Consider the following 18,758-nt stretch of genomic DNA (forward strand, 5'->3'; position numbering starts at 1 on the left):
CCGTCTCAAATTAAAAAAAAAAAAAAAGAATGCACCCAGAACAAAACAGAACTGGCCTATTCGCCTATGCTGAAACCTAGTGTCTCCCTGGCTGTGCTGGCCAGCAGTGAGGACTTGGGCGGCAAAACAATGGCCCCCATCTCCTAGCTGTTATGTTATGCACCAGTGCATTTAAGGAGTAAACCTAACTCTTATCCAGAATTCTAACTGCAAGAAAGTCTGGGAAATGTGAATTATTTTTTTTAAGCTCTCTAATCTCTGCAGCTTAAGAAGTCACACTAAAAGGTTGACATAGATGATAAAAATCAATTTAACATACCCACCACCGTTTAACAAATAAAACGTCTTCCTCAGCCAGGCGAGGTGGCTCACGCCTGTAATCCCAGCACTTTGGGAGGCTGAGGCGGGCGGATCACCTGTCGTCAGGAGTTCGAGACCAGCCTGATCAACATGGAGAAACCTCCTCTCTACTAAAAATACAAAAAATTAGCCAGGTGTGGTGGTGGGCTCCTATATTCCCAGCTACTCAGGAGGCTGAGGTAGGAGAATTGCTTGAACCCGGGAGGCAGCAGTTGTAGTGAGCCGAGATTGCGCCATTGCACTCCAGCCTGGACAACAAGAGTGAAATTCTGTCTCAAAAAAAAAAAAATCTTGCTCTCCAACACTGGGGCCCAGCCTACCTCTTCAGCTTGGTCTCTAGCCACTCATCCAACCCACATGTACTCTGTGTTCAGGTGAATTGTCAGGTACTATGGTTTGAACGTGTCCCGTCCATAATTCAAGTGTTGAAACTTAATAGCTACTGAAGTGATAGTAAGAGGAGGGAGCTTAAGGAGATGATTAGATCATAGGGGCTCCTCCTTCATGGATGGGATTAAGGCCTTTATAAAACAGGCTTGTTGCAGCAGCCTCCAGCTCTCTTGCCCTTCTGCCTTCCTCCATGTGAGGCCACGGTGTTCCTTCCCTCCAGAGGACACTGCAACAAGGCACCACCTTGGAGGCAGAGAGCAGACAACTGGATCTGCTGGAGCCTTAAGCTTGGACTTCTCAGCTTCCAGATCTTTAAGAAATAAATTTCTGGGCCGGGCGCAGTGGCTCACGCCTGTAATCCCAGCACTTTGGGAGGCCAAGGCGGGTGGATCACGAGGTCAGGAGATCCAGACCATCCTGGCTAACACGGTGAAACCCCGTCTCTACTAAAAATACAAAAAAATTATCCGGGCGTGGTGGCAGGCACCTGTAGTCCCAGCTACTCGGGAGGTGGAGGCAGGAGAGTGGCAGGAATCCGGGAGGTGGAGCTTGCAGTGAGCCGAGATCTCGCCACTGCACTCCAGCCTGGGCGACAGAGCCAGACTCCGTCTCAAAAAAAAAAAGAAAAAGAAAAAAGAAATTTCTGTTCCTTATAAGTTACCCAATCTCAGGTATTTTGTTATAGCAGCACAAAACAGATTAAGACACTGGGGTACCTCCACCACGCAGTGCCTTTGCTCAAGCTGTTCCCTTTTTTTTTTTTTTTTTGAGGCAGAGTCTTGCTCTGTCACCCAAGCTGGAGTTCAGTGGCGCAATCTCCACTTACTGCAACCTCTGCTTCCCAGGTTCAAGCAATTCTCCTGCCTCAGTGTCCTGAGTAGCTGGGATTATAGGCGCACACCATTGCGGCTGGCTAATTTTTGTATTTTTAGTAGAGATGGGGTTTTGCCAGGTTGGCCAGGCTGGTCTTGAACTCCTGACCTCACTCGATCCTCCCATCTCTGCCTCCCAAAATGCTGGGATTACACGCGTGAGCCACCACACCCAGCCAAAGCCATTCCCTTTATCTAGAATGTTCTTTGTTGCTTTTTCCACCAAATGAATGAATTGCCTCTTCTTACAAGCTTTTTCTTACCTTCTGGAGAAGAAGTCATATTCTGGCCCTCTGTAGCTTTTTGTGTGTACCTTTTTAAATGATATATTTACATGTGTGTCTCCCACACTTGACTAAGAGGGCAGAGATCATCTCTTTGCTATCACAGGTGAGGAAAGTCTGAGCCAATTCCTTTTAGCTCCTGGCTTATTATTAAAAAACAAAAAAAGGAGATTGAAATAGGGTATTAAAGTATTAAAGTTTCTAGAACAGTCTAAAGGTTTAAGTTTGCCAACTTAATGCTTTTAACACAAAAATGATGATGCAGGTGCTGCGGCTCATACATAGTCCCAGCTACTCAGGAGGCTGAGGCAGGAGGATCGCTTGAGCCCAGGAGGTCAAGCCTGCAGTGAACCGCAATTGTGCCACTGCACCCCAGCCTGGGTGACAGAGTGAGATCTTGTTTAAAAATCGAACAAACAAACAAAAAACAAAAGACCAAACAACTCCTGGGCTCAGGCGATCCTTCTGCCTCAGCCTCCAAGTAGCTGGAATTACAGGTGCCAGTGACTGTCCACCTGCACATGTATTTTGATTCTCTTTTACAGCATCTGAATATATACTGTGATTGATCCTGGTTCAGGACTATGGAGTGATATGATAAGCATTAAATTTCTAAATGTAGGATGTTTTTTGTGATTGTGAGATTCAGGCCCATGTTTTTCTTGGATTCCTAAAGCAGGTGCTAGACTCAGTCATAAACAGACTCTCACTATATAAAGTAATTAATGACTTAGGAGGTCATATGTATTTTTCACACTGTCTCAACTGCTCTTTTGGCAAAGTGGCCTGTTCCCAGCTTTAAAGGAGCTCCAGCCAGGCGTGGTGGCTTATGCCTGTACTCCTAGCACTTTGGGAGGTCAAGGCAGGAGCATTGTGTGAGCCCAGGAGTTCAAGACCAGCCTAGGCAACATAGTGAGACCCCCATCTCTAAAAAAAAAAAAAAATTAGGCTGGGTGCGGTGGCTCACGTCTGTAATCCCAGCACTTTGGGAGGCCAAGGTGGGTGGATCACCTGAGGTAAGGAGTTCAAGACCAGCCTGGCCAACATGGTAAAACCCCATCTCTACTAAAAACACAAAAATTAGCCAGGCGTGGTGGCACATGTCTGTAATCCCAGCTACTCAGGCGGCTGAGGCAGGAGAATCGCCTGAGCCTGGGAGCCAGAAGTTGCAGTGAGCCAAGATCACGCCATTGCATTCCAGCCTGGGTGACAGAGCAAGACTCCCTCTCAAAAAGAAAAAAAATTAGCTGGGCATGGTGGCATGTATACCTGTAATTCCATCTACCTGGGAGCCTGAGGCGGGAGGAGCCCCTGAGGCCAGGTGTTCAAAGATCCAGTGAGCTATGATCTCACCACTCTACTCCAGCCTGGGTGAGATGGTGATACCCTATCTCTAAAAATAATAAAGGAGGTTCAACAAGACTCAGGAAGCTCATTATGTAGAGATGTCCATCACTGTGAATCACTGGAAATAACCTAAGAGTAAGTCAACATGGAAGAGGTTAAAGAACTAATGACTTATTGATTCAAAGGAAAATTACAGCCGTTAAAATAATGACAATTATGTGTCAATGTATAAGAAGCTTTGAAGTAATACTAAATCGAGAAGGATTATAAAATGGTACTCAGATTGGGAATCCAACCATGTCAAGAAACACATACACAAAAAGAAGAAAATGTCCTTATCACCTAATATGTGGTAGGCCTTCTGCTGAGTCTCAGGGATACACAATGAATAAAATGTGGTCTCGATGTGGCTCTCTGTTGTGGTGCCTGCCCCCAGAACTCTTACCAGGAACCTCCCCATGACAAAGCAAGTTAAATGTTTGATAGCTGCCTGTTGGTTGTGAGTGGGGATGAACGTTCTAGAGCTTTTGCCAATTTCTGTGATGTAAACATTTTTGCCAGGCTGATTTCAAGGTACCGATGGAATTTCACTAACACAGAATTGGAAAGAGATATTCATAAGCGGCTCTTGAGACTCAGTGCAAACTAGCTTCAGCAGCACATTTGGGAGGTGGTTGCTAAATAAGCAATAATTTATTTATAGGATGGAATCCTAATCAGCCATGAAAATATCATACTGTAGAATAATTAGTCATATTTGAAGAAGTTCATCTAGTTATAATGCCATTCAAAAAAAAAGGCCGGGCACGGTGGCTCACGCCTGTCATCTCAGCACTTTGGGAGGCCAAGGCGGATGGATCACAAGGTGAGGAGATCGAGACAATCCTGGCTAACAGAGTGAAGCCCCGTCTCTACTAAAAAAATACAAAAAGTTAGCTGGGCATCGTGGCGGGCACCTGTAGTCCCAGCTACTTGGGAGGCTAAGGCAGGAGAATGGTGTGAACCCGGGAGGCGGAGCTTGCAGTGAGCCGAGATTGCGCCACTGCACTGCAGCCTGGGCGACAGAGCAAGACTCCATCTCAAAAAAAAAAAAAAAAAAAAGAGGGCTGGGTGTGGTGGCTCACGCCTGTAATCTCAGCACTTTGGGAGGCCAAGGAGGGTGGATCATGAGGTCAGGCGTTCAAGACCATCCTGGCCTCAGGTGATCTGCCCACCTCGGTCTCCCAAAGTGTTGGGATTACAGGCGTGAGCCACCACGCCTGGCTGAATTATATCTTAATAATAAAAAAAAGTAGGTTACAAAGCAATCTGTTTTGTACATGTGGTAGGTCAGCAGCCTGTAAGATGACCCCCAGTGATTCTCACCTTCTGATAGTCACATTCTTGTGTAAACCTCTCCCCTCTGGTGTGGGCCAGATTTGATTCCTCACTTCTAACAAACAGAATACAGCAGAAATGATAGAATGTTACTTCCGATATTAAGCTGTGACACGATGGCTCCCATGATGGAGACTCTGGGTCCCTCCTTCTCTCTGTTACTCGCATCCTCCCCCCAGGGAAGCTGGTTGCCGTGTCATGTGCATGAGCAGCCCTGTGGAGAGGTCCATGTGGCAAGGAACTGATGTCTCCAGACACCAACCAGCAGGCAGGGGATGAACTGCTGAGCTTCAAAGTGGATCCCTCCCCAGTCAGGGCTGGAGATGACCTCAGATTGCCAAGGCAATCTGTCAGAGGAAGAAAAAGTTGGAGGGCTTACACCACCAGATATTAGGACCCGTTATGTAAATATAATACACATATTATGTAAATATAGTACAGTGTGGTATTGGCATAAGGACAGGCAAACAGATCAATAGGACAGGACAGAGTCTAGAAATAGACACATTAACATACTGTCATCTGATTTATGACAAAGGTGACAGTAGTTGGGAAAGGAGTGTTTTTGTTTGTTTTTTTTTTTTTAGACAAGGTCTCACTCTTGCCCAGACTGAAGTGCAGTGGTGCAATCATAGCTCACTGTAGCCTCAAACTCCTGGGCTCAAGCAATCCTCTCACCATAGCCTCCTGAGTAGCTGGGATCACAGGCACGTGGCAGCATGGTCAGCTAATTTTTTATTTTTATTTTGTTAGACAAAGTCTTGCTCTGTCACCCAGGCTGGAGTAGAGTGGCATGATCACAGCTTACTGCACCCTCAACCTCCTGGGATCAAGTGATCCTTCTGCCTCAGTCTACTGAGTAGCTGGGACCACAGGCACATGCCACCACATCCAGCTAATTTTTGTACTTCTTGTAGGGATGAGGTTTCACCAGGTTGCCCAGGCTGGTTTCAAACTCCTGGGCTCAAGCCATCTGCCCAGCTTGGCCTCCCAAAATGCTGGGATTATGGGTCTGAGCCACCATGCCTGGCCAGAAGTCTTCTTCATAGATGATATGGGGTCACTTCTGCTTCTCCGGCTATGCTCACTGGCCATCAGCGCCCTCTGTGTGCCCAGAGTCTCACATAGGGCACCTGCACGTTATCCACAGAACACTGTGGGGCCTTCCTCCCAGCTCAGGGCCATAAGGAGAGAGACCTGCCTCGGGTTTGATGTCTTCTTGCCCCCTCAGCTCCTCTCCAGGGCTCCCCATTCCCAGGCCAGTCCTTCTGGGTGAGAAGCCAGCAAGATGCATGTGATCTTCGGCCTCTGGGTTGGCCCCAGTGGTGCATACCCACTGGTGTTCATGTCCATCTGTAGTCTCCTCTCACACTGAATCAAAGCTGGCCTGGGTGACAGGCAGCATTCTGTCAGAGGGACAGTGCATGACTTCTGAGGCTTGGTCATATGAGACCCTGCGGTGCTACCTTGGGCCTTTGGCTTGTTCTCTCGGGGTGAGGTCAGCTGCCCTGCCTTGAGGACACTCAAGCAACCCTGTGGAGAGAAGCCCAGTTGTCAGCACCAGTTTGCCAGCCACTCCAGCGAACCACCTTGGAAGCAGGCCCTCCAGCCCCAGACAAGGCTTCAGATGGCTCTAGGCCCCAGCCCTTGAGATTTTCAGCTGAGGCCCCAAGCATGATGTAGTAGAGATAAGTCATTCACACCGTGCCCTGTCGGAACCCCTAGCCCACAGAAATCACAACATAATAAATGACTATTGCTTTAAGGTACTAAGTTTTGAGGTGTTTTGTGTTGCAGCAATAGATAACTGATACAATGGCTCAAGCCCAGTGCTACACTCTGGGAAAGTCCTCCTTGTTCTCTTCCCTGAAGCTTGAGGCTTTGCAGGCAGCTCCCCTGCAGTCTCCTCCTGCCCCGCCACACCCCGCCCCCGCGCCCCCCCCTCCATCCCTCCTAGTACCCCCCCACCTCCCTCTGGCTACCTCACTCTTCCTTCCCTCTCCAGGGAGGCAGAGGGCAGGATCGACCCATCTGCTGCCTCATTGGAGGTTCCACTGGGAAATGAGATGCTCATCTTCCCTGCTGATAGCACTGCCTCCGAGGCTTTCAGAATAAGTTTTCTAGAATCCCCTCACTTTGGCAATAGTGAGGAAGGAAAGAAAACCCTAGTATTCCCCAGTGGGCAGTGACTAGCATGGATTACCTCTGTCACTTCTTCTCACACTTGTGCTCATATTGGGGGTGGGGAGGGATGAGTGATTGTAGTAGGGCCGGTTCTGCCACCTCTTTGTACATACCTGGGGCATGTTCTTGCCCCAATCTCAACAGAGTCTTTGAATCATCCTTAAGCGTGAGGTCCACAGCACTATTTGTCATAAATTTTGGATCTCCATCGTCAATACCAGGAAAACAGGAAAAGTCCCTCTTAAACATTCGAGTCCAGGCTTTCACCACCTGGCATGACCTGATCTTTCTGCTTGGGTTTCTTTGCTGTTCCTGCTTCCTTCACTCTAACTCTGTCCCTTTGGCAATAAATATATCAGCACTTTCTGGGACGATTTATGACATGCTCTCTTTTCACCAAACCTCCGCACATGGTGGTCCCTTTGCTGGCAACAACCTTCCTCTTCCTTTGCCCAACAGATTCTTACCCTTCATGAGCCACCTCAGCACTGTCTCCTCAGGAAAGCCCTGCTTGACTACTCTAACTTTCTGGCTATATTAAGTGCCTCTACTGGGTCATCCTAGCTCCTTTGCTTCCTTTACCACACTGTATTTGCAGCAGAGACACTGTATTTGTGGCCGAGGCAGAAATACAATTACTTTTTTTTTTTTTTTGAGATGGAGTCTTGCTCTGTCACTCAGGCTGGAGTGCAGTGGAGTGATCTCTGCTCACTGCAACCTCCACCTCCCGGGTTCAAGTGATTCTTCTGGCCTCAGCCTCCTGAGTAGCTGGGATTACAGGTGCCTGCCACCACGCATAGCTAATTTTTTCTATTTTTAGTAGAGATGGGGTTTCACCACATTGGCCAGGCTGGTCTCCAACTCCTGACCTCAAGTGATCCGCCCACCTGGGCCTCCCAAAGTTCAGGGATTACAGGCGTGAGCCACCGCAACTGGCCCAGAAATACAGTTTCTCAAGCACAGTTTATTCTCCCTCTTCTACAGCATGTGGATGTTGCTGGAAAGCAGCTGTCCAGCTGGCACCTCATTTCCCACTGCCTCTTACATCTAGGTGGTCATACTACTGGCTCTTGCCAAAGGAATGTGAGCAGAACCCACATGTGTCACTTCCACACCAAGGCCTTTAAGAAGCGGGTGTGTCGTCTACACACTGTCAATGTCCTGCTACCAGCTGTATTTGGGCAATGACAAGATTCTTAGGAATGGTGCTGCCACAAGGTGGACAGAGCCCAGCACCCAGGATCAATGTATAGAGGAAAGCCACCTGCTTCAATTATGTCTGAGACGTAATTCCTTTGAAGGCCTATTTGTTATAGCAGCTAGGGTTACCTTAATTAATACAGTATTGTAGTCTTTACTGGTGTCTCTCTGCTAGATAGTCTTTTTGTTTGTTTGTTTGTTTTTGTTTTTGAGGCAAGGTCTGGCTCTATCGCCTAGGCTGGAGTGGAGAAGTGGCGTGTTCTTGACTCACTGCTACCTCTGCCTCCCAGGCTCAAGCCATCCTCCCACCTCAGCCTCCTGAGCAGCTGGAATTACAGGTGTGTGCCACCACGCCTGGCTAACTTTTGTATTTTTTGTAAAAAGGGGTTTTACCATGTTGTGATCTGCCCACCCCGGCCTCCCAAAGTGCTGGAAATACAGGCATGAGCCACCGCGCCCGGTCTCTTGCTAGACTAGTCTTAAAGGAAAAGTAGGAGTTCTTTAGGTGAAAGAAAATGAACTTGGGGTGGGGGTGGGGGGAGGACAAAAGAGCAATAACTGTGTCAGTAACTCAGTAACTACTCACTGAGCACCTACTATGTTCCAGGCATTGGAGGGGCAGCAGCAAACCAGACAGACAAAGTCCTCCACTCTCATGGTGCTGAAATTCTAGGGGCAGAAACACTGAGCATGTAAATACATAAAGTACAGAGGAGCAGTTCTCAAAGTGGTGACATGGAGAAAACATACCAGTGTAACAGGTAATGGGATAAAGAATAACTGGGAAAAGGCACTGGACCAGATGATCCAGCAGGGCCTCCCTGGAGTGTCACTTGAGCTGAGACCCCAATGGTAAGAAGAATCCAGCCATGCAACAATCTTTGCATTAGGGAAGGGGAAGGAGGAGACTTTCCTAGACAGAGGAACTAGAGGCACAAAGGCCCCAAGGTGGGAAGGAGCTTGGTGCTCTTGAGACAGGAAGAAGGCCAGCATGGTGGGAATGGGTTGACTGGGGAGAGACTGAGGTTAGATGGGGCCAGGGTGTGTCCCCACCTGTCATTCCTGCTTTATTTTTCCCCATCACACTTCTTATTGCCTATTATGCTATGTATTTCTCTTACGTACATGCTTTATTTTCTGTCTCTGCCACTAGACTGTAAGTCCCATGAAGGCAGGGATTTCTGTCTGTGTTTTGTTCACTGCTGTCTCTTGGTAGACAGTGCCTAGAACAGTGCCTGCCACACAGTCTGCCCAAGCTGTGTTTGTTGACTGAATAAATAAATGAAAGATGGATAAAGGCCAGATAGTGCAGGGCCTTGAAGGCCATGTTAGGGTCATTCTAGGCAAAGGGAATTGCAGGCGCACTCAGGGAGAGGCAAGCGTTCGTTAGGTAAAGACAGGCCGAGCCTCCCACAACCCTGTCAGCATGGAGGGCTGCAGTCCACGCTGTAGAAAGAGTGGCAGGGTAAAGGCAGTGCCCCAGTCCTCTTGGTCTCCCTGGTGCTTGTTAATCTGACTGGCAAGGTCTGAAGCAGGCAGGTGCTGTGGTCTGGTGAAGCGGAGCCAGGGGAGACATCATCCCACTGAGAGAACACAGAAGGAACCCACAGCCACAGCAGGGCAAGCAGCCCCATTTCCTAGCAGCCTCATGAGCTCAGTGTGGCAGGAGGCAGTGCTGGGGCTCAAGCCCACTAGAGTGGCCCATTGGTCCTGGTGTTACCGCCTGTCCTTCCTCAGGCCATTTGATCTTCCCATCTGTGTCACTCCATTTGCATCACTATAAAGGAATACCTGAGTCTGGGTAATTGGCTCACGGTTCTGCAGGCTGTACAGGAAGCGTGGTGCCAGCATCTGCTTCTGCTGAGGGCCTCAGGATGCTCCCAATTGTTGCAGAAGGCCAGGGGGGAGCAGGAATGTCACATGGTGAGATTGAGAGCAAGAGAGAGGAAGCGGGGAGGTGCCACATTCTTTTAAACAACCAGATCTCATGTGAACTTGGAGCGATAACTCATTCATTACAAGGAGGGCACCAAACCATTCATGAAGGATCCACCTCCATGACCCAAACACCCCAATCAGGCCCCACCTCCAATGCTGCAGATTACATTTCAACATGAGATTTGAAGGGAACAAATATCCAAACAATAGCACCATCCATCCAAGGCTGTCAATGGGGCAGAAATAGTCATCCTTATCCCACAGGAGGGGGAACTGAGGCTACATTTTTGTTTTAAGGATTCTTCAGATGCAAGTGACAGAAATCCTACCTGATTTGGCTTGCCTTTCTTTGTTTGCCCTCTAGAAAAAGAGCCAGAGAACAAGCTTAACGTGCTATAATCTTATGGGATTCAATCCCAGGGCAGCAAGAGTAAAGGAAAGAGAGGAGTAAAGAACAGAGTGCAGGAGGAAAAGCAAAGACAAGGTCGCGTGTCACCAAACTGGCCACAGAGTCTCAGCAAACATGGTCGTTGGGTTTGGGCTGCCAGATCAAAAAAAGGATGCCTGATTAAATTTGAATTTCAGATGAACGCAAATAATGTTTTAACATAAGTATTTGTATTTGCAAATTCTGATAACCTAGTCCCATGCGACATCTCCAGGGAGGTCATGCTCAACAGTCTACTGAGAAGAGGTAAAGTAGAGATTTTACCCCTCAGTTCCTTTCTGAATCCTGTCTTGCTGGTCAGAGTTTACTCATAGGAAAGTTCACTCCCCACATTTCTGGGTTATATTACCTGGCTCATCTGGGCAGTCACTGGGGAAGCCAAAGCCTCTGAGTCCACTCTGAGGCAGCCCCTGGGTGCGGCTGTGACTTTCCATTAAGCAAGTGGTAAAGGCCTAAAAGTGGGGTTGGGGACCAAGAGGGACAGGGAGGGGAGCAGATGGCTTCTGGCATGGCTAAATACAGGTGCCCAAAATTGCATCACTTAGACAAGTCCCTCTTCATTTCCTCGTTTTCCTCTATTTTGAGATAGGGTCTCATCGCCCCCTCCCCCCCCACTTTTTTTTTTGAGATGGAGTTTCGCTCTTGTCACCCAGGTTGGAGTGCAATGGCATGATCTCGGCTCACTGCAACTTCTGCCTCCCAGGTTCAAACGATTCTCCTGCCTCAGCCTCCTGAATAGCTGGGATTAGAGGCATGCACCCCGATGCCTGGCTAATTTTGTATTTTTAGTAGAGACGGGGTTTCTCCATGTTGGTCAGGCTGGTCTCGAACTCCTGACCTCAGGTGATCCACCTGCCTCGGCCTCCCAAAGTGCTGGGATTACAGGCATGAGCCACTGCACCCAGCCTGTTTTCCTCTTATTTTGACTTGGCTTCTGCTATCGACTGAATGTTGGTGCCCCTTCCCAAAATTCCTATGTTGGAAACTTTTTTTTTTTTTTCTAGAAACATTTGAACAATAGTTTGGAAAAGTTTGCCCAATAACCCAGCAGCCTCTAGGTTTTTAATGGTGAAGAATGTTACTTGTGCAAGTCAGAATCTGATACCAATGAAATGGTGACAGCTTTGCCAATAAACAAGAATATACTTACTCTTCCATGGCTAGGAAGGGCAACTGCCACAGCTGACAGGTTCCAAAGACACATGGAGACTATGTTGGAACTTAACCATCAAAATGATGGTATTAAGGGGTGTGCCCTTTGGGAGGTGATTAGGGCTCTACCCTCATGAAAGAGACCAGTGGCCTTACAAAAGGGCTTGAGGGAACCTGATCATCCCTCCCACTCCCTCTGCCATGGGAAGACTCAGACAGAATGCACCATTTTGGAAGCAAAGAGCAAGCCCTCACCAGACACTGAATCTTCCAGTGCTTTGATCTTGGACTTCTCAGGCACCAGAACTCTGAGTAATAAATTTCTATTGTTTATAAATGACCCTGTCTAAGGTATTTTGTTATAGCAGCAGGCACGGCCAAAGACAGCTTCACTCTCAGGTTCTCAGGTTCTCAGGTTCTCTCAAGGTGACAGGAAGTCCCCAACAATTCTAGACATGCTTTAATCTTTCTTCATGCTCCTTCCATCCTAAAACAGATCCATTGAGTGTTATTGGCCCTGAGTGCCCTGGATGTGGTCAAGTGCCCTCTTCCAAAAGAGTCACTGTGGGCAGAGGGGTGCAATGCAGCCTGTGTGCAGGAAGGCTCTAAAAAGCAGCTGTGGCTAGTGTGGCACAAGGAAGAGGAAGGATGGGAGATTACGTGCTAGTGTGATGTGCGGTTGTCTTCCTGTGGGTGTTCCCCCAGCCACATACATAGAACTGGGAGCTCCTGGTGCACTGGTTCATCTCTGTGTCCCTGTGGTCATACTCTGGAAGCTAAAAATTGATTGCTTTTGAATAAATGAATGGACAAACCTTTACTTCCTTTATAGCACCTAATAGAAAAGTGCCTCAAGCTACCACATGAGATTTATCTCACCTGGCAACTGACATGTAATGTCAGTCATTCTCTTGTAATGTAAAGGAGAACTTTATTTATTTGTTTTTAAGTTGTTTTTTTAAGAGATGGAGTCTTGCTATGTTGCCCAGGATGGACTCAAACTCCTGGGCTCAAGTGATCCTCCTGCCTCAGCCTCTGGAGTAGCTGGGACTACAGGTATGTGCCACTGTGTCTGGCTGAAGGAGTGCTTTATAAATCATTTTCACATCTGATTCTCACAAGAACTCAGAGGTAGGGTTTATCATCACCATTTTATTATTTATTTATTTATTTATATATTTTTAAGAAGGAATCTCGCTCTGTCACCCAGGCTGGAGTGCAGTGGTGTGACCTTGGCTCAGTGCAACCTCTGCCTCTCAGGTTCAAGTGATTAGTCTGCCTCAGCCTCCCAAGTAGCTGGGACTACAGGCGGGTGCCACACCTGGCTAATTTTTTTTTTTTTTTTTGTATTTTTAGTAGAGATGGGATTTTGCCATGTTGGCCAGGCTGGTCTTGAACTCCTGACCTCAGGTGATCTGCCCACCTTGGCCCTCCAAAGTGCTGGGATTACAGGCGTGAGCCATTGCACCTGCCCCATTTTATTATTTTATTATTTTATTTTTGAGACAGAGCCTTGCTATGTTGCCCAGGCTGGGTGCAGTGGCATGATCTGGGCTCACTGCAACCTCCACCTCATGGGTTCAAGTGATTCTCATGCTTCAGCCTTCCAAGTAGCTGGGATTACAGGCCTGTGCCATCACACCTGGCTAATTTTTGGTGTTTTTTTTTTTTTTTAGACGGAGTTTCACTTTGTTGCCCAGGCTGGAGTGCACAATCTCAGCTCACTGCAACCTCCACCTCCAGGGTTCAATTGATTCTTATGCCTCAGCCTCCCGAGTAGCTGGGACTACAGGCGTGCATCATGCCAGGCTAACTTTTGTATTTTTAGTAGAGACGGGGTTTCGCCATGTTGGCCAGGCTTGTCTCAAACTCCTGACCTCAGGTAATCTGCCCACCTTGGCCTCCCAAAGTGCTGGAATTACAGGAGTAAGCCATCACGCCTGGCCCATTTTATTATTTTATTTTATTTTATTTTTTTATTTTTGAGACACAGTCTTGCTCTGTTGCCCAGGCCGGGTGTAGTGGTGTGATCGCGGCTCACTGCAACCTCTGCCTCCCAGGTTCAAGAGATTCTTGTGCCTCAGCCTTCTGAGTAGCTGGGATTACAGGCCTGTGCCATCATACCTGGCTAATTTTTGGTTTTTTTTTTTTTTTAGACGGATTCTCACTTTGTTGTCCAGGCTGGAGTGCAGTGGCGCAATCTCGGCTCACTGCAACCTCTGCCTCCCGGGTTCAATTGATTCTCCTGGCTCAGCCTCCCAAGTAGCTGGGACTACAGGTGTGCACCATCACACCTGGCTAACTTTTCTATTTTTAGTAGAGACAGGGTTTCGCCATGTTGGCCTGGCTGGTCTCGAACTCCTGACCTAGTGATCCACCCACCTTGGCCTCCCAAAGTGCTCAGATTACAGGTGTGAGCCACCATGCCTGGCCTTATTTTTTGTATTTTTAGTAGAGACTGTATTCACCATGTTGGCCAGGCTGATCTCGAACTTCTGACCTCAAGTGATCTGCCCGCCTTGGCCTCCCAAAGTGCTGGGAGTGAGCCACTGAGCCTGACCATATCACCACTATGGGAAGTGAGGATACTGGGGCCCAGAGAGCTCAAGAGAATTGCACTGACACAGGAGCTCAGACTGGGTGCTGGGGACCAGAAGTTACCAAGGATGAAAGACTATAGTGCGGCATGTTGGGACAGCCAGCTGGTGACTTCTGGATTAATAAAAACTGCCAAGAAGGAAACCTTGGATAAAATTGTCCACTTTAAAGCAGCAAAACCTGGCTAGACACAGTGGCTCACACCTGTAATCCCAGCAATTTGGGAGGCCAAGGTGGGAGGATCACTTGAGCCCAAGGATTAGAGACCGGCCTGGGCAACATAGTGAGACCTTATCTCTACAAGTATTTAAAAATTAGCTCGGTGTGGTGGCACGTGCCAGTAGTCCCAGCTACTTGGGAAGTTAAGGCAGGAGAATTGCTTGAAGACAGGAGTTTGAGTCCAGGCTGGGTCACACAGTGAGACCCTATCTCTACCAAAAAAACAAAAAAAATTAACCAGGCACAGTGGTGCACCTGTGGTTCCAGGTACTCGGGAGGCTTAGACGGGAGGATTACTTGAGCCCAGGAGGTTGAGGCTGCGATGAGCTATGATCACAGTACTGCACTCCAACCTGGGTGACAGAGTAAGCCTCTGTCCCAAAAATAAATAAATAAATACATACAAAGTAATAAGGTAGCAAAATCCAGAGAACTTTATAAATCATGCAAAGCTATGTCAGAATAATTCAATATTTTTCTCTGCTTTAAATTGCTCAACTATGTGTTAACATTTGTCAATGCCCAGTAGGGTGCTGGGGACATCAAAGTAGACCAGAGCAGGTCCTGGCCCTGAAAGACCCCCCCAGTTTCGATGATAAATAAACAGCCAGAGAGTCATGGGTTCACTGTGGGAAAAGAGGAGAAAAGGGCGGTGGCCAGAAAAGGCTCTGCTGTACAAACAACCTGTGAAGGAAGACACATCACACACACACACACGCACACACACACACACACACACACACACACACACAAACACACATACTCCCCACCCCCTGGCTTAAAATGTTCCACAGGGTTTCTCATCACACATGCTATAAATTTGCAAGGCCTTGCTATGACCTGTGAGACCCTATATGACCTAGGTTTGCACATTGCTCCCACCTCAACTGTTTCTACTCTCTCCTTCGCTCACTCTGCTCCAACCACGCTGGCTTCCTTGTTCCTTGAGCAGGACACCTTTTTCTGCACAAAGCTTCTACCCTTGCTATTCCTTCCACCTGTAACATTTTCTGCTCAGGTATTCTCAAAAGGCTGGCTCCATGTCAGCAGGTCTCTGCTCAAATGTTACCTCCAGTGGGGTGCAATGACACATGCCTGTTGTCCCAGCTACTTGGAGGCTGAGACAGGAGGACGGAGAGCTACAGGCCAGGAGTTTGAGGCAGCAGTGCACTGTAATTGTGCCTGTGAATAGCACTGCACTCCAGTCCGGGGACCATAGTAAGATTCTGTCTCCAGAAAAAAGGCACCTCCTCAGAGAGGACTTTCTGACCACCTATGTCTAAGTCACCTCTCCTCACTTCCACCTCCATCACTGTTCTGTAACACTGTTTTATTGTCTGCATCTCATTGATCACATTATGGATTTTTTTTAAAAAATTGAAACATTTGATAGTTAATGAAATATCATGGTTAAAACTTAAACATATATAAACTGATGTCCACAGAAAAACCCAGCTCCCTTTCCTGTCCCATCATCAGGAATAGTGTAGTGGTTTTGTGCTGTGTCAATTAAGCTACATTTACCATTTACCAGAATTCTCTTCTCTAACAGCAGTGATTTTTTTTTGTTTTTTTTTTTTTTGAGACAGAGTCTCTCTCTGTCACCCACGCTGAAGTGTAGTGGTGCAATCTCGGCTCACTGCAACCTCCACTTCCTGGTTTCAAGCGATTCTCCTATCTCAGCCTACCAAGTAGCTGGGATTACAGGAGCCTACCACCACGTCTGGCTAATTTTTTGTATTTTTAGTAGAGACAGGGTTTCACCGTGTTAGCCAGGATGGTCTCTATCTCCTGACTTCGTGATCTGCCCGCCTCAGCCTCCCAAAGTGTTGGGATTACAGGCGTGAGCCACCGCGCCTGGCAATTTTTTGTATTTTTTAATAGAGACGGGGTTTCGCCATGTTGGCCAGGCTGGTCTTGAACTCCTGGCCTCAGGTGATCCACCTGCCTTAGCCTCCCAAAGTGCTGGGATTACAGGCATGAGCCACCGTGCCTGGCCAATTTGTTGTTGTTGTTGTTGTTTTGAGATGGAGTCTTTCTCTGTCGCCCAGGCTGGAGTGCAGTGGCATGATCTTGGCTCACTGCAATCTCTGCCTCCTGGGTTCAAGTGATTCCCCTGCCTCAGCCTCCCAAGTAGCTTGGACTACAGGTGCGTGCCACCACACCTGGCTAATTTTTTGTATTTTTAGTAGAGACGGGGTTTCACCATGTTAGCCAGGATGGTCTCGATCTCCTGACCTCGTGATCTGCCTGCCTCGGCCTCCCAAAGTGCTGGGATTACAGGCGTGAGCCACTGTGCCTGGCCAATATTTTTTGTACTCTGAAGGTCATGCAGCATGCCAAGCACTGGGGCAGCTTATTCATTGTGTAACTAGACTTGTTGGCAAAGGGTGCCAACCCAGAAGTGCATCTCCTACAGCCCCCACCAGATCTCCTCCTTTGGCTTCTCTGAATCCTGGCCTAAGTGTGTGTGTAGCTCTGGATGAAAGGTGTTGGGTTCTGCTGCTGCTCACCCATTCATGGCACTGAACTTAGAAGTGATGAGAGACAGATATGGCTCCCAGTTGGTCCTCATGGGTGGCTCTTTTTATCCTCCTTGGCCCCAGTGTGTCATTATTCTTATCCACATCCAGCTTTTATTCCTGAATGCTGGTCTAACTGACCTGTAGTGACTGACGTTGGGCTCAACACCAGACACAGAAGGAACAGCCTGTGTAGACTTTCTACCAACTCCCACAAATCGATAAGGTCTAGCCCCTTCCATTAATTCCTCATTCTAATCACTCACAGTGCTTCTACTTCTCTGATTTTAATTGATATACCAGGTAACCACTTTTATTAGTTGCCGAAGGATGTTCTTATTCTTTACCTTTTAAAGCATATGATATATACTCTTCTGTTGCGGGAAGTCAGGGACCCCAGTGGGACTGGCTGAAACCATGGCAGAAGAACGTGGATTGTGAAGATTTCATGGACATTTATTAGTTCCCCAAATTAATACTTTTATAATTTCTTATGCCTGTCTTTACTGCAGTCTCTAAACATAAACTGTGAAGATTTCATGGACACTTATCACTTCCCCAATCAATACCCTTGTGATTTCCTATGCCTGTCTTTACTTTAATCTCTTAATCCTGTCATCTCCTAAACCAAGGAGAATGCATGTTGCCTCAGGACCCTGCGATAATTGCGTTAAGTGCACAAATTATAGAGCATGTGTGTTTGAACAATATGAAATCTGGGCTCCTTGAAAAAAGAGCAGGATAAAAGCAATGTTCAGGGAATAAGAGAGATAACCTTAAACTCTGACTGCTGGTGAGCCAGGCAGAACAGAGCCATATTTCTCTTCTTTCAAAAGCAAATGGGAGAAATATCGCTGAATTCTTTCTCCCAGCAAGGAACATCCCTGAGAAAGAGAATGTGCCCCTGAGGGTGGGTCTCTAAAATGGCCCCCTTGGGTGTGGCCGTCTTCTGTCGTCGAAACTGTAGGGATGAAATAATCCCCAGTCTCCCATAGCGCTCCCAGGCTTATTAGGATGAGGAAATTCCTGCCTGATAAATTTTGGTCAGACCGATTGCTCTCAAACGCTGTCTCCTGATAAGATGTTATCAATGACAATGGTGCCTAAAACTTCATTAGCAATTTTAATTTTGCCCCCGGTCCTGTGGTCCTGTGATCTTGCCCTGCCTCCATCTGCTTTGTGATACTTACTACCTTGTGAAGTACATGATATCTGTGACCCACACCTTATTCGTACATTCCCTCCCCTTTTGAAAGTCCCTAATAAAAAATTGCTGGTTTTGCGGCTTGTGGGGCATCACGGAACCTACCAACATGTGATGTCTCCCCCGGACGCCCAGCTTTAACATTTCTCTCTTTTGTACTCTGTCCCTTTATTTCTCAACCTGGCCGATGCTTAGGGAAAATAGAAAAAAACCTATGTGACTATCGGGGGCAGGTTCCCCGATACTCTTCTGCATCTGGTTTTATCATGTAACAATATCTCTTGGAGATCCTTCCATACCAATATATAGAGAATTATCTTATTGCTTTTTTATAGTTGCACAGTATTTCATTGTCAAGATGTACCATACCTTTTTTACCAGTTCCCTATTGATAGAAATTTGAATGAAAATTGTGCAGGGACGTGTGTGTGTGTGTACGTTTGTACATTGTGTACCACACTAAGTAGTAAGGCTCTTGATATCAATGGCCTTGTTTTCCTTGTGTCCTTAGAACCTAACAAAAAGCCTAGCATATAGGAGATTCTCAGTAAATCGTTTGTTGAAAGAAGGATGTACTTGTCCACTTTCTCCATGGGCAATCCTGTTAACACCCGTTACTTTCATTTCCATCTACTCTTAAATTTCTATTTTCAGCTGAGGCTA

General features: G+C 47.3%; 1 non-coding gene across 1 annotated transcript, besides 1 other annotated feature; it reads right to left on the reverse strand.

Moving 5' to 3' along the window:
• Window positions 1-11,473: 11,473 nt before the first annotated feature.
• On the reverse strand, window positions 11,474-11,608 carry LOC124900558 (small nucleolar RNA SNORA24). Its single transcript, XR_007096307.1, has one exon. It is a non-coding gene; the product is annotated as a small nucleolar RNA SNORA24 (small nucleolar RNA).
• Window positions 15,916-16,116: a silencer, noted in NCBI's record as "peak4821 fragment used in MPRA reporter construct". NCBI's record gives its function as "represses an SCP1 promoter by STARR-seq MPRAs in K562 erythroleukemia cells {active_cell/tissue: K562}" and the evidence as "EXISTENCE:reporter gene assay evidence [ECO:0000049][PMID:32103011]".

The sequence above is a fragment of the Homo sapiens genome, chromosome 3 (assembly GCF_000001405.40).
Source record: "Homo sapiens chromosome 3, GRCh38.p14 Primary Assembly".
Lineage (NCBI taxonomy): Eukaryota > Metazoa > Chordata > Mammalia > Primates > Hominidae > Homo > Homo sapiens.